Source organism: Homo sapiens, chromosome 21, assembly GCF_000001405.40.
Source record: "Homo sapiens chromosome 21, GRCh38.p14 Primary Assembly".
Lineage (NCBI taxonomy): Eukaryota > Metazoa > Chordata > Mammalia > Primates > Hominidae > Homo > Homo sapiens.
The window spans coordinates 31,799,020-31,814,068 of record NC_000021.9 but is presented as its reverse complement, the minus strand read 5'-3'; the positions used below and the strand labels follow the sequence as shown (position 1 = coordinate 31,814,068).

General features: G+C 46.4%; 2 annotated features.

Moving 5' to 3' along the window:
* Window positions 12,863–13,363: an enhancer, noted in NCBI's record as "H3K4me1 hESC enhancer chr21:33173019-33173519 (GRCh37/hg19 assembly coordinates)". NCBI's record gives its function as "activates a minimal SCP1, AML or CMV promoter by ChIP-STARR-seq in naive H9 embryonic stem cells {active_cell/tissue: H9 hESC(naive)}" and the evidence as "EXISTENCE:reporter gene assay evidence [ECO:0000049][PMID:30033119]".
* Window positions 13,364–13,864: an enhancer, noted in NCBI's record as "H3K4me1 hESC enhancer chr21:33172518-33173018 (GRCh37/hg19 assembly coordinates)". NCBI's record gives its function as "activates a minimal SCP1, AML or CMV promoter by ChIP-STARR-seq in naive H9 embryonic stem cells {active_cell/tissue: H9 hESC(naive)}" and the evidence as "EXISTENCE:reporter gene assay evidence [ECO:0000049][PMID:30033119]".

The following is a 15,049-nucleotide window of genomic DNA, read 5'->3' as shown; positions in this document are numbered from 1 at the left end:
CCATTCATAAACCAATCCCTGGGTGGAGAAGGATAAGATTCCCTACACTGGGTCTGGGGCCACTGTAAGGACCATCCTCATGTGAGTAACATTGCCACACTCTAGAGGATAATTAAAAATGGGATTCTATTGACGTAAAATAAGGGAGATAGCTGTTTGCAGGGTAACTAACAGTGTCTGCCATAGGAAACCATTATAATTAGAGACCTCAAAAATATGTCTTCATTGATAGAAGAGACTGCTGGTGTAAAATCCTGAAATGCCAGTGATACAAAAGACTTCTTTTCATCCTCCCTTTCCCGTTCTTCCATTGTCTTTGTCATTTTATTTTTATGCCTGCCCTCCTCTCCACCCCAAAGTTTTTTGTGACATTTTCTCCTTTAGGTATTTTTCTCATCAAAGAACCATCTAAGTTTCTAAATTACCAGCTTCCTTTCAAGGCGCTAAATAAAATAAGCAAAGCATCTGTAATGACCTCATGAGCACAGTGGAAAAGTTTAGGTCTCTGCCCTTGAATATTTTTGATAGCTTCATAGAAGTACAATGAGAATTAAAGAGGGGAAATTTCTTTATTCAAAAAAAATGATTGTTGAGCATATGGGCTTAATATGGGTTAGAGGAAAAGAAGAGGTGAGGAGAGTATAAGTGGGAAGGGGAAAACAGAAAAGAAAAGGTGACTCTGTCTTCAAGATGTGCAACACATAAAACAATTAGAAGGCGGGGCACCAGTAGCTCACCCCTGTAATCTCAACAATTTGGGAGGCTGAGGCGGGTGGATCACCTGAGGTCAGGAGTTCGAGATCAGCCTGGCCAACATGGCAAAACCCCATCTCTACTAAAAATACAAAAAAAAATTAGCTGGGCATGGTGGCAGGCACCTATAATCCCAGCTACTCAGGAGGCTGAGGCAGGAGAATCACTTGAACCTGGGAGGCAGAGGTTGCTGTGAGCCAAGATCGCACCACTGCACTCCAGCCTGGAAAACACAGCAAGACTCTGTCTCAAAAAAAAAAAATTAGAAAACAAAGCAATGTTCCTAACACATCACCCTGCACTCCAAATAGGTTCACCTTTCCTTCCTACCTCATCTCCACTGTGCTTATTATACCAGCTGGCACATGGTCAGCTAGAAATAATGCAAACACATGAACTCCTAGAAGTTTACCTTTTTCACATACTAAGAAGTCTGGAAGGAAAATTTGCTGCCATTAGTTCAACTTCTCAGGCTCATTAGGTGTCTAGCTTTTTCCAGTCTCCACCATTAATTTGTTGGTTTTTTGTCTTTGTGATTATTGCTTCATGGTCACAAGACGGCTGCCACAGCTCCAAGAATCATGACTGCATTCAAAGTCGGCATACAGTGAGGCAGCCAGATAACATAGGATCTCCTCTTTTCTGCCTTCTATGGCAGGGATCAAAAATATTTTTCACAAGCCCTCAACAGACTTCCTTTTCATCTCATTGAGCGAAATTTGGTGCAATGGCTCCCATTAGCTACAAGAGGAGACAGCGGCAAAGTGAATACCTGGCAAATGGTATTGGCATAGCCATGACTGGCTTAAAAGCAATCACAATTCATTCATAGGAGCTGGACACATGGCTACCCACCCTCCCAACCCCTCAAGCCAACCACCAAGAAAAAGAAAATCAGAGATCCATTAGCAAGAAAGAAAGCAGAGAAATAGCAGGTGCCCAGGTTTTCCAAGTTCATTCCCAAGTGCCTTTTATCCTCTGCATGTCACCTGTAGTGGCCTCACTGACCCCCGCTTTTTACCCAAGATCAGTTCATACTTCAGGACCCTGGCTCTTGCTGACCTTGCTGCCTTTAAGATCCACCCAGGACCTGCACCTCCACCCCAGGGAGGGGGCTTGGCTGAACCATGCCTCAGGCCCAGTGGACAAGCCCTGGAATCTGCTTTTGTGGGTTTGAATCCTGGCTGTGCCTCTTTCTGGTTACAGCCTTTTAGGAATTGATTTGACCCTCTGGGAGTGAGAACTCTTCAGTTTCCTCATCTGTCCAATGAACGTAAATATAGTGACTGGCACAAAGTGGTCCCTTAATTTTAAAAACTATGAGATGGATGGACAGAAGGATGACACCTACCCCCATGGAACCACTGAAAATATTAAATGAGATAATGTATGAGCCGGGAGCGGTGGCTCATGCCCATAATCCCAGCACTTTAGGAGGCCGAGGCAGGCGGATCACAAGGTCAAGAGATCAAGACCATCCTGGCCAACATGGTGATACCCTGTCTCTACTAAAAATACAAAAATTAGCCGGGCATGGTGGTGCACACCTATAGTCCCAGTTATTTGGGAGGGTGAGGCAGGAGAATCACTTGAACCCAGGAGGCAGAGGTTGCAGTGAACCGAGATTGCACCACTGCACTCCAGCCTGGTGACAGAGTGAGACTCCGTCTCAAAAAAAAAGAGAGAGAGATAATGTATATGAAAGACCAAATGACTCCTGGCACACAGTAAATGCTCATTAGATGCAGGTAGAAACCGATCACATCACCACCCTGCTTCAAAGCCTTCAATAGCTTCAGTTACACTTAGGGTGAAGGTTCAAGTCCAAACTGCTTGAACAACATGGCCTTTTCCTACCTCTTGGGATTCTGCCTTGTTGCTTCAATCATCCTGTCTCTCCCTTGGGCAGCTGTACACTTGCTCCTCCCACCCAGTATGGATGACATCTTCCATTCATCCTTGATGTCCTATCTAAGAGTCTCTTTCCCCTATAGGCCTTTGCCTCAATTCTTCTCACACACTAGCCAGGCTAGTTTCCCAGGGAGACAAGAAATGAGGAGCCAGAGCATTCAGGAAGAATGTATTCAGGGAGAATTTTTGGAGTTGGGAAACAGGAAAGCATTCTCTCAAGTCTGCACTGCCAGGGCCCCAGGCGAAGCCCCTGAAAATGCAACAGGATGGCCGGCATGGTGGCTCACGCCTGTAATCCCAGCACTTTGGGAGGCCGAGGCGGGTGGATCACCGGAGGTCAGGAGTTCGAGACCAGCCTGGTGAAACCCTGTCTCTAGTAAAAATACAAAACCAAGCTGGGCATGGTGGTGGGTGCCTGTAATCCCACCTATTCAGGAGGCTGAGGCAGGAGAATCACTTGAACCCAGGAGGTGGAGGTTGCAGTGAGCCTAGATCGCGCCATTGCATTCCAGCCTGGGCGACAGAGCAAGACTCCGTTTCAAAAAAAAAAAAAAGAAGAAAAAAGAAAGAAAGAAAGAAAGAAATTGTTCTTCTATCTGGAAAGTTGTGGGAGCCAGGACTGCAGATCAGAGGGGGATATGGAGTTCTCTAGATAGGACTACCAATAAAGAGCAGATTTCTCAAGGAAACAAGCACAGAAAGAATTTATAAAGGCCCCGTAATTATCCGGGAACCTACAATTTGCCAAGTTATAGTTACAATCTCCCCACAGTTTCTTATATTTCTTGCATGTCTAAGACTAAACTATTCATCTTCTGTTTATTCCAGCTGCTCCTCCTGAACCCCTATCTCTGCCCAAGGTGCCATAATTGATCTTTCATCTTCAACTTTACCCTTCTGCCGGTGGTCCTCAGACTTCCCACAAAGCACTCCCATCCCTGCTACCCTACGAGATACCCAGATCCTATCACCAGTCTCCTAGGGCTTCTCCCCACCACTGGCCCCTCCCTGCCCCCATGCATGTTGCATACAGAGCCTGGATCCCTTCCTAGCCTGCTGCTCTCATCCCCTTGGCTGCCTGCTCAAGTATCTTTGCTGGCTCCCTGTCTCCTTCGTTAAACACGAATGTCTTGCCTGGAACTCTGAACTCTGCACGCCCTCTCCATATATATTTCTGACTGTCCTCCCCATTTTTTCTTTCTTTATTTTAAAACCTGTCATACATTCAAAAGAGCGTTCCTAAGAGTTGTACAAATTATTGTTCTAAAGACCACACCTGCAAAACCACCTCTCACAGTAAATCATCAAATATGTCGAGTTTGTTAGCCATTCCCCTCTGCTCCCTCACTTAGCATATTCCCCTCCCACCTCCTCAAGCTAACCCATCCCTGACATGTTCATAATCATTGTCTCGATTTGCTTAGAGTCCTACCACGTAGCTCTAAATGACATATTTGCTCGGTGTTGCCAAATTCTGAATTTTCTATTGACTGTATCATTCCACATTTATTTTGCTGTGACTAGATTCTCCTTCCCCTGTTTCTCAGCCTATTTGAGATATAATTCACACAGCAATTCACTCACTGAAAGTCTACAATTCAGTGACTTTAGTATATTAACTGCAACCATCACCACAATCTGAAGTTAGAAAAATATTATCACTGCAAAAAGAAGCCCTGTACTCATTGGTGGTTACTTCCCATTTCTCCCCACCCCTCAACCTTAGGCAACCACTAATCTACTTCCTGTCTCTGTAGATTTGCCTCTTCTATTCTATTTCATATAAGAGGAATCATACTCATTCTATATACTGTGTGCTCTCATGAAACTGACCACTCTCTTTCCCCAGGCGCGGAACACCAGTCATTCTGTCTAGAATAACCTCCCCACCCCAGCCATCGCTGCCCACCCAGGTCTGACAGCTTCTGTGTGATCCAGCCCCAAGCATCACTCTTCTACTTAGCTTTCCTCTTTTCACTCTACCCCCCTGTAATTTTTCCCCTGTCAAATTCTCAAAAGACACTATAACTTTGTCTCAGGAGGCCTAGTGTCTTCTCTACTAAACTGTCGGCTCTGTGAAGGGTCCATACCTTGCCTGGTTTTATTCCCTGCCGTTCTCCAGAGTCCAGTCAGTGCCTGGCACATAGCAGATGTCTGATAGGTATGCATTGAGAGGATGAGGACCATGCACATTATTCTGCCTGAGATTATCACTGCTTGTGCACATAACTAGAACTTGAATGTGAGGAATTAACTAGGTGTGTCTTAGTCCATTTTGTGCTTCTGTAAGGGAATACCTGAGACTGGGTAATTTATAATAAGCAGAGATTTATTTCTCACAGTTCTGGCGGCTGGAAAGTCCAAGATCAAGGGGCTGGCATCTTGTGAGGGCCTTCTTGCTGTGTCATAACATGGCAGAACGCATCACATGGCAGAAAGGCAAGGAGAGGGTGAAAGACAGAGAGAGAATAACTCGAGCCCTTTTATAATCAGCATTAATCCATTCATGAAGATGAAGCCCTCATGACCTAAACATCAGCCATTAGGCAACGTATCTAACACTATTGCATTAAAGATTAAGCTTCCAACATATGGGGACACATTCAAATCATAGCAAGATACAATCAGAAAATGATGTTTTCTTTCCCCTGAAAGGGCCTGCTCCACCTGCTCTGTGAGACTGAGTCCTTCACCATTCTGGGAAGAAATCACAGGTGGTCCCTGTGGCTTACTACTCACTCTCACAAAAATGCATTCATGACATCTAGCCCATAGAATCACCAAATCTCTATTTTCAAGTCCACACCCCTCCCTGGGTCAACCTAGGCCTCTTTCTGGCTGGTGCCTTGGGAATCATGGTTGGCTTCTTGTCTCTTTCCCTCACCTCACAGGCTGTACCTTCTGCCCTCTCCACGGTTAGACAGGGGGAGGGGCAGAGGTAAACACACATCTGATGTTGGTTTTCCCCAGGCCATGGCTCATGTAGAACACCAATTCTTTCCCTCGGCTCTCCCTCCTGTCCCCCATCACTGGGAATATTTCTCATCTGTCCTGCTCTTGACTTAGGCAAAATCATTCCATCGACATGGCCACTTAAGAGCTCTCTCTTGGTCCCTGGCTATCTAGCAATACCACTAGCTTCCTACTGCTCTGGGAATTATCTGATAACCCTAGCAGGGCTTTCTCTCTCATATGACCCACCTCTGGTCCACAGTGAACTTGTATCTTTGGCCTGTGGCCAGTGGAAGGGCAGGCACATAACTCTCTTCTCTGTGACTTTGGCCAGCCTCTGCCCCTTGAGACTGTACCTGTGAAATCAGCCTCCAGTACCCCAAGTTACCTAAGTTTCTGGGGACACCTAATATGCTCTCTGAAAGGTGTCTTTGAACCCATGCTCACAGACATGAAGGAGGAAGGTAGCATGCAACCTGCCTCCATGAAGGGACAAAACTTTTTACACAAGGATTATTTCTATTCCAAGAAATCATTTCTTTAATCTCCAACCCCTCTCCCGGCCTCTCCATGTGGTATATAGGTTGCAGCTGGGTGGTCAACTGGGGGCCCTCAAAGCTGGTTTTCAACCACCTCCAAGTCCTGCATCGGAAACCACACCCTGACTTTGGAACACCATTGTTTTTGCCACCTATTGACTTGAGGCCTCAGCCAAAACTGAGACAAGAGTTTCATTTTAGCCTCCTGTCCTTGTCTCATCCCTTCACATAATTGTAGGCTCCTGAAAGGCAGAAACTCTGCCACACCCATCTTAATTGCCTTTGCCCCTCTTACCTAGTGTTTAGTGGTGCCAGGCTCAAGATGCCAGCAGGCATTTTAGAGAAAAATAGCACTGGTGATGACCCAGCATCAAAAAGGAAGATGGAAGAGGAAAAAGTGGGAGACTTTGATTCTGCAGTGATGACTCAAAGGGGAAGCTTTAGAGGGTTCACGTTAGAAGTTAATCAGGCTTGGGAGCTATGAAAGCGAGCTCTCCCAGGTCCATTTTCCCCTGGCATTGACTCAAGAACAAGTACATAACACAAGTAATGTTATACAGGTTGGCCTTACAATGCTGAGAATGCACAGATAGCAATATTGAGGTTTAAGAGGGGAAAAGGGTCACTCTAACTGCATCTAAGTCCTTTCAGTTATTTTCCTACATGTCCCTGTTTCTGAAATCATATCTATCACCAATGTCTTCTTTAGGATATTAGGAAACGTATTGGTCCCTTTATTTTGGCCTGGTTAAAGCATGTGCTGAAGGTCTCAGGCACATAGAGAAGCAAGCATTTATTAGCAGGATGAAGAGTTCTCGGATAAGAAATTACTATTAAAAAATGTCAAACTTTCACGTAAACAACACATGCTGGGTGCTACATAGAGCTGGAGCTCATCACTTTGCAATCAGAGTGTCTGTTACATTCTAAACTCATAGGATTTTACCTATACCCATTTATTTGTCAATAATTCATTGACAGTAGCTAAGAATTCTTAGTTAAGACCTCCAAACTTATTCCCTCTACTAAATTCCTGCCGTTCGTTTAAGCCGCCAGCCTCCTCTTAAAAGGTCCGTGCTAGAAATGGCCCAGCATCACAACCTCCTCTTCCCCACATTATTGACATGGAATCCACCTTCCGAATACCTTCCCCATCTGCTGCCTCCTGATTATGTCCACGACGGCTCCCAATCAGGTCTCCACCCTCACTCAACAAGTGGACTTGCACAAAAGAGCTTTATCACTGGCTCACCACATACCAGTCCTTCCTACCCAGTCCACCTCCAACACAGATGCCTGACAAGGCTGAATTCCATCCTCCCAAAATTCATATGTTGAAGTCCTAACCCCCAGTAAACAGGAACATACATACAAGAAAGAATACATGAGGACGCAGTGAGAAGGCGGCCATCTACCAGCCTGGGACAGAGGCCTCAGAAGGAACCAACCCTGCTGACATCTCAATCTCGTACCTGTAACTTCCAGGACTGAGAAAATAAGTTTCTGTTAAGCCACCCAGTCTGTGGTACTTGTTGTTGTTGTTGTTGTTGTTGTTGTTGTTGTTGTTGTTGTCGAGACAGAGTCTCCCTCTGTCGCCCAGGCTGGAGTGCAGTGGCACAATCTCGGCTCACTGCAAGCTCCACCTCCCAGGTTCACGCCATTCTCCTGCCTCAGCCTCCCGAGTAGCTGGGACCACAGGTGTGTGCCATCACACCCAGCTGATTTTGTTTTGTATTTTTAGTAGAGATGGGGTTTCACCATGTTAGCCAGGATGGTCTCGATCTCCTGACCTCATGATCCTCTCACCTTGGCCTCCCAAAGTGCTGGGATTACAGGCATGAGCCACTGCGCCCAGCCAATCTGTGGTAATTTTTAATGGTAGCCCCAGCAAACAGATACAATGCCCACTAGCTTCCTGCACATAAATCGGCACACTTTCCTGGTTAAAACATTTCCAGAGCCCTCAGACTCCCCATTTCCTTTGGGATCAGGTTCAAATTCCTTAATATGACACATTTAGCCCTTCTTCCACCCCCAGCCTGCCTCTGCATGTCATCTCCTGCCTACCTACCCTACCCCATCCATCATTTCTAATCCCACAACCCAATGTATCAACACTGACCTCAACACACATTGCCTTGACCCTCTCCCTGATTTAGTACACACTGTCATTTCTGTCTTGGACTCACCCCCTCTGTGTCTCCCTTGTCCTTCCAGACCCCATTCAAATGTCACCTCCCCATGAAGTCTTCTCTATACCCCCACACAGTGTTTGCCCCTATCCTCTGTGCACTCTAGAACTTTAGTGCTTATTTCTTTGAGTTGCAGTTGTTTGCAATGAGTTTCTAGAGGAAGAAAAGGTGTTTTACTCTGATACAACCCTAGCACATAGTAGGTGCTCAATAAATATTTATTGTATTTTTGGTATTGTAGACTGAATATCTACAATCCATCCAAATTCACATGTTGAAGCCCTAACCCCCAATGTGATGGTATTTGGAAATGGTGGGGTCTTTGGGAGGTAATTAGGTTTAGATGAGGTGATGAGGGTGGGAAGAAGAAGAGACCAGAGGTCACCTTCTCTCCCTCTCCACAATTTAAGGACATGGTTAGAAGGCAGCCCTCTGCAAGACAGGAAGTGGGCCCTCAACAGGAACTGAATCAGCTGGCACCTTGATCTTGGACTTCTCAGCCTCCAGAGCTATTTGAAAATAAATTTCTGTTGTTTAAGCCACCCAGTGTATGCTATTTTGTTATGGTAGCCCAAGCAGATGAACACAGCTGGATAGAAAAAGAAACAAAGGGGGCTGGGTGCTCACGCCTGTAATCCCAGCACTTTGGGAGGCCAAGACTGGTGGATCATTTGAGGTCAGGAGTTCTAGATCAGCCTGGCCAACATGATGAAACCCCATCTCTACTAAAAATACAAAAATTAGCCAGGCATGGTGGCGCACACCTGTTATCCCAGCTACTTGGGAGGCTGAGGCAGGAGAATTGCTTGAACCTGGGAGGTGGAGGTTGCTGTGAGCTGAGATCATGCCACTGAACTCCAGCCCAGGTGACAGAGCAAGACTCTGTCTCAATTTAAAAAAAAAAAAAAAAAAGAAGAAGAGGAAGAAGGCCAGGAGGAGTGGCTTATGCCTTAATCCCAGCACTTTGGGAGGTCAAGGCGGGTGGATCACGAGGTTAGGAGTTCAATCCCAGCCTGACCAATATGGTGAAACCCCGTCTCTACTAAAAATACAAAAATTAGCCAGGCATGGTGGCATGTGCCTGTAGTCCCAGCTACTCAGGAGGCTGAGGCAGGAGAATCACTTGAACCCAGGAGGCAGAGGTTGCAGTAAGCCAAGACTGCACCACTGCACTCCAGCCTGGGCAACAGCGCCAGACTCTGTCTTGAAAGAAAGAGAAAGAAAGAAAGAAAGAAAGAGAGAGAGAGAGAGAGAAGGAAGGAAGGAAGGAAGGAAGGAAGGAAGGAAGGAAGGAAGGAAGGAAGGAAGGAGAAAAGAAAAAGAAAGAAAGAAAGAAAAAAAGAAAGAAAGAAAGAAAGAAAGAAAGAAAGAGAAAAATAAAGGGCTACCTCCTGTTGTTTTAACCAAGAACTCTTCTCCAAATCTAGGAATCGTTCCCGTACATAGTCTCTGTCTGACACCCACGCTCAGGTAGGCCTCATCAATCTTGTTTTCTGACACTGATGAGCTCTCTCGGGTTTTTAGATCCTTTCCAGGTGTACACCATTGTCTGCACTATATTTCCAGCCACTTCCTCCTTTCAGGGTTTCACCATTGCCTTTGACTTTTGCTAAAAAGTCTGAGGTTTTTTTCCACCCTGGAAATGCCTTGTCCCTTTGTCCTCTTTGTATAAACAGATGCTTCCTAATCGTCTCCCTCATCCTAGGTCTTTGCCAACAGTCACCCAATTACAGTCAGATTCCAGTAATGTCTTAGAGAGACAGTGCCTCAGTTGGAAGCTTAAATGCAGCCTTGAGCTTCTTTCCTCCATGCAAACCCGGGACTCTTCAAATTCTTCTCCGGTTATGTAACTGTAATTCCCATAAGCTTTCTCCCAAAATGTTCGTCATATAGTACCTTCAAGCGTACATAACTCTAATAACTTACGTTTGTTTAAACATGCATTAAATTGAAATAGAACTATGAGCCACCTGGGACCCAGGCATTTCATTTCAGGGTTTAGCCATTGCTTTCCTTTATGCGTAAGCAGGTAAACCTGTTGTGTCAAGAAAGAAAATGCTTGGCGAAGAACTGAAATATTCTCACCCATATTAATGACATTTCAGCAAGCTTTTCCGAACCCAACCTCTTACTCACCGTGTGAAGGACTCTCAGAGCTGTAGGAACAGCAGGGCAAAAAGCTGAGTGTTTGCCTACTTCCTCTCATGCCAAGGGGGCCGAGAGAAGGATGAAGGAGTGTGCCTGGGTTGCTCAAGGAAAAAGCAATCTGAATTTGCTGGGATTTGGAGGAGGAGCACCTTGGAGATCCGTACTTGTTCCCTACTTACACGGTTAGCTACTGCAGCCACTAGTCACATGCGGCTATTTACATTTTAATTGAATAGAATTAAGTAAAATTGAAAATGTGGTTTCTCGATCACACTAGTCACATTTGAAGTGTTCAAGTGCTACAGGTGGCTGGTGGCTAGTTTAATAGGACGGTGCAGGTACAGAACATTCCCATCATTTTGAAAAGTTCTAGTGCATCGCTCTGATCTATAATGTAAGTAATGCTTATAAGAAAGACCGATAAGCGAAATTTCTTTTTTTTTTTTTTTTTTTTGAGACCAAGTCTCACTCTGCCACCCAGGCTGGAGTGCAGTTGTGCAATCTCGGCTCACTGCAACCTCCGCCTACCAGGTTCAAGCGATTCTCCTGCCTCAGCCTCCCAAGTACCTGGGACTACAGGCGCCCACTACCACGCCTGGCTAAGTTTTGCATTTTTAGAAGACACGAGGCTTCACCCTGTTGGCCAGGCTGGTCTCAAACTCCTGACCTTAAGTGATCCACCCACGTCCGCCTCCCAAAGTGCTGAGATTACAGGTGTGAGCCACTGTGCCTGGAGAAATTTCTACTTTTAAAATGAACATTGAGAAAATATAAAGTGAACTTTGCTGACTACAGTAAGAGTAAAACAATTTTTTCAAAAGGATGATTCCTAGGTGCTTTGTCAACACAAGTCAAAGAAAGGAATGAAAGACCGAGAGAAAAAAGGAAGAATAACCAGATGGGTATCAGCACTGAAGGGGCTCACCGAAGACCAAGGGAACCCATCAATTCTAAGCGGGTAAAAAAAAAAAAAAAAAACAGTGACCCGAGGTTGACTTGTCTGAAATGCTGTCGGGAGGCAGGAAGCACTTTGTCATTTAGAAAATGTGAGCCTGCAGGCACAGGGTCACAGGCCATGCTGGCCTTTGGTGAGTCAATTTTAAAAACGTGAACATTGTGCGCATGTACCCTAAAACTTAAAGTATAATAATAATAAAATTTAAAAAAAAAGTAATATGAGGGAGGAGATTGTTCCCTTTAAATAGCCCTTAACCCCTATTTACACATCTTTCCCTTTCCTTAAGACCACACTGGGTCAGTTTTGCAATAATTTATGAGGGCACCACTGTTGGGATGGGGGTTGGGGGGACACCCAGAGGCCAAGGAACTCTTGTCCAAACCTGTCAGGAGAGAAACCCCAGGAATCTGTAATTTCCAGGAATCTTTGATATTCAGACTCCAGGGCTCAAATGTCTCCATCTGTCTGTGTTTTTAAACCACTGCTTTACTTGGTAAGACTCCACCCCTCCCTCCACTACCAAACAGTAAATGGCTAGTGTGTATTGTACTGCCATATCGATTTTTCAAGGCTCATGTATAGCAGTCCTGCAAGAGTAGCCTCCATTTCTGGAATTCTACGATATTGTGAAACACGTCTGGTTTTCATCTTGTTTCCTGGCATATAATTCCTAAAATCCTCAGAGTCTCCAAAGTGATGTCTTCTCTATGTAAATGATTTGACTGATGACTGGCAACCCCTAGATAACTTTGGGATGGGGGCTGGTCACCAGAAAGACCAAGGCGGGATTAGAGGGTTGGGACTTTCAGCCCCCTCCCCAACCTCAGCAAAGGGGAGAGGGGTTGAAGGTCAAGTTGTTCACCAATGCCCAATGATGTCATCAATCATGCCTGCGTAATGAAGCTTACATAAAAACCCGAAAGGACGGGGTTCAGAGAGCCAGCAGATAGCCAGACACACAGGGGCTTACACAACAACCATGTGCCTGGACCGTGGCGCACCCCAACTCCACGGGGACAGAAGCTCTGGGCTCAGGACTCCTCCAGACCTCCTCCTGTGTATCTCTTCATCTGAGTGTTTATTTGTATCTTTTCGTTGTTGTTGTTTGAAAGGAGTATCACTCTGTCGCCCAGGCTGGAGTGCAGTGGCTCAATCTTGGCTCACTGCAACCTCTGCCTCCTGGGGTTCAAGCGATTCTCCTGCCTCAGCCTCCCGAGTAGCTGGGATTACAAGCACCTGCCACCACACCCAGCTAATTTTTGTGTTTTCAGTAGAGACAGGGTTTCACCATGTTAGCCAGGTTAGTCTCGAACTCCTGACCTCAGGTAATCCGCCCCCCTCGGCATCCCAAAGTGCTGGGATTACAGGTGTGAGCCACCGTGCCCAGCCTCATTTGTATATCTTAAAATATCCTTTGTAATAAACTGGTAAACATAAGGATTTCCTGAAGTCTGTGAGCAGCTCCAGCAAATTAATCGAACCAAAGGAGGAGGTTGTGGGAACCCCAATTCAGAGCTGGTGAGTCACAAGCACAGGCAAAATAACCAGGGGCTTATGATTGGCATCAGAAGAGGGGGGCAGCCTTGGGGGCTGAGCCCCTGGCCCTGTGGGATGTGACGCTAGCTCCAGGTAGATGGCATTCAACTGGAGTACAGCCAGCTGGTGTCCGCTGCAGACTGATTGCTTGCTTGGAGTGTGGGGGAAACTCACACACATTTGGTCTCAGAAGTCTTCTATGTTAATTGTTGTGGAGTGAGAGAATAGAAATAACACTTTGAGCTTGTTTTTACTCAGGCTTTATAAGAGCTCTGAGGAAAATCGGCTCTGCTGACTGCTCACTCCATCCCACCTGCGTGGTGGGCTGGCAGAGGGGCAGCCTGATCCAGGGAAGCTCTGGAATTGGCATGCCCCCCATGAGCAGGACTGAGGCAGACCTGTCTGGGCGTGCACTTTCTTATTCAGGAGACCCCAGCCGAGGGTGGAGCCGCAAAGCACAGGATCCCATCCGATCTGTGTGTCACTGCTCAGTGACAATAGCCGGGGAGCTGCTTACAGCAGCTCCGCAGATTGGCAGCAGGTCCGAGACTGATGACTGCTAGCAGCAAAATCAGCCTGTCACTCCCTCTGCCTCTCACTCTAACTGGGAGAGGGGTGAGGATGGGAGGCTCGCCCAGGCCTGGAAACCGGCCTCCCGCCCTTCCTGTGCTCCACACCTGGGACTCCCCGACTCCCCATTCTCCAGTCCCCCTGCAGGGCTGTCACCGACTCTCTTGCCAGAACAGGGAGCCAGGAATGTCTTCTGCGCCCACATCTGAGGGCTGGCAAACTTGTGCAACTGCTGGGGCTCAGAGCACAACTATCAACTCTTGGGATCACATGAACACATCATACACATACCATTCCATTCCCCCACACACACCTATACTCACACACACACCCTCTCCAAACACATACATATAGCACACATGCCTCCAAACTCATATGCATACATATATACACATAGACACCCATTCCACACACACACACACACACACACACACACACACACACACACACATCCACACTTACATGCTTTTGAGAGTTCAGCCATTACCACGGTCGTTTTGCCTGGCTAAGCTTGAAGCTGCCTGTGAATAGGAAGCAGGCTCCACGGTGGGGCTCAACTCACCCCCCAACTCCTGTGGCAGCAGCTCTGGACAGGGAGGAAGTCGCCTGTGCTGAAGCCCTTCCCTCTTCTGCCCCACCCAAGGGACATAGGACTCAGCCTGAGCTCAAGCAAGAGCAGGCTGTCATCCAGGGTTTGTGGTCGTTGGGTGACACTAGCATATCTCTCATTATAAGATGTATTACGTAATATCATATGGTCTATGATATCACATGTATGGCATATGAAAGATGTGTGTGTGTGTGTGTGTGTGTGTGTGTGTGTGTGTGTGTGTGTAGAAACCATGTCTACGAACAGGCCAACAAGAGAAGAGACAGAGAGGATAAATGCAACCTGTTCTAACAGGAATGCAGCAGCATACTGTTTGGAAATTGGCCCCGCAGCGGAGCAATAATGCAGCCCAGGCCCAGGGTCAGTTTGTAATCACATTCACGCAGGTGTCAGGCACTGTGTCCACTTGAGTACCAGTGAGAGGCTCATGCTGAAATCTGCAGGAATCCAGCTATTTCAAAGAAATTGGGAAGAAACAAGAGCTGAAGGGACTGCAGCAATGTGGTATTTTTAAGGTGTTGCTAACTGGCTAATAATATCCGGGTTGTGGGGCGTACTGCACACACTCAAAGGCTCTGCCAACACAAGCTAATTAACCTGTACTCAGAGGTGGGTGTGCATATGAACTGTTACCACTTCTGCTCGCAGAACCACTTAGCTGTGTCACACTTCTTGTAGCAACACGCCAAGTGATCGCTAAAAACACACTGGGTTTTAAATACCTGGATTTAAACGAATAGTGCTGGGAATCTCTGAGGCTGCTCATGCATTCAAATTACAGTTCTGCCTCTCTCCTCCTAGCTCCCGGCTGCTGTACATTCTTCTAGACTTTAACGCCCACTCAGATATCTCCCTCATCTACAAAGCCTTCCCCAGCTGT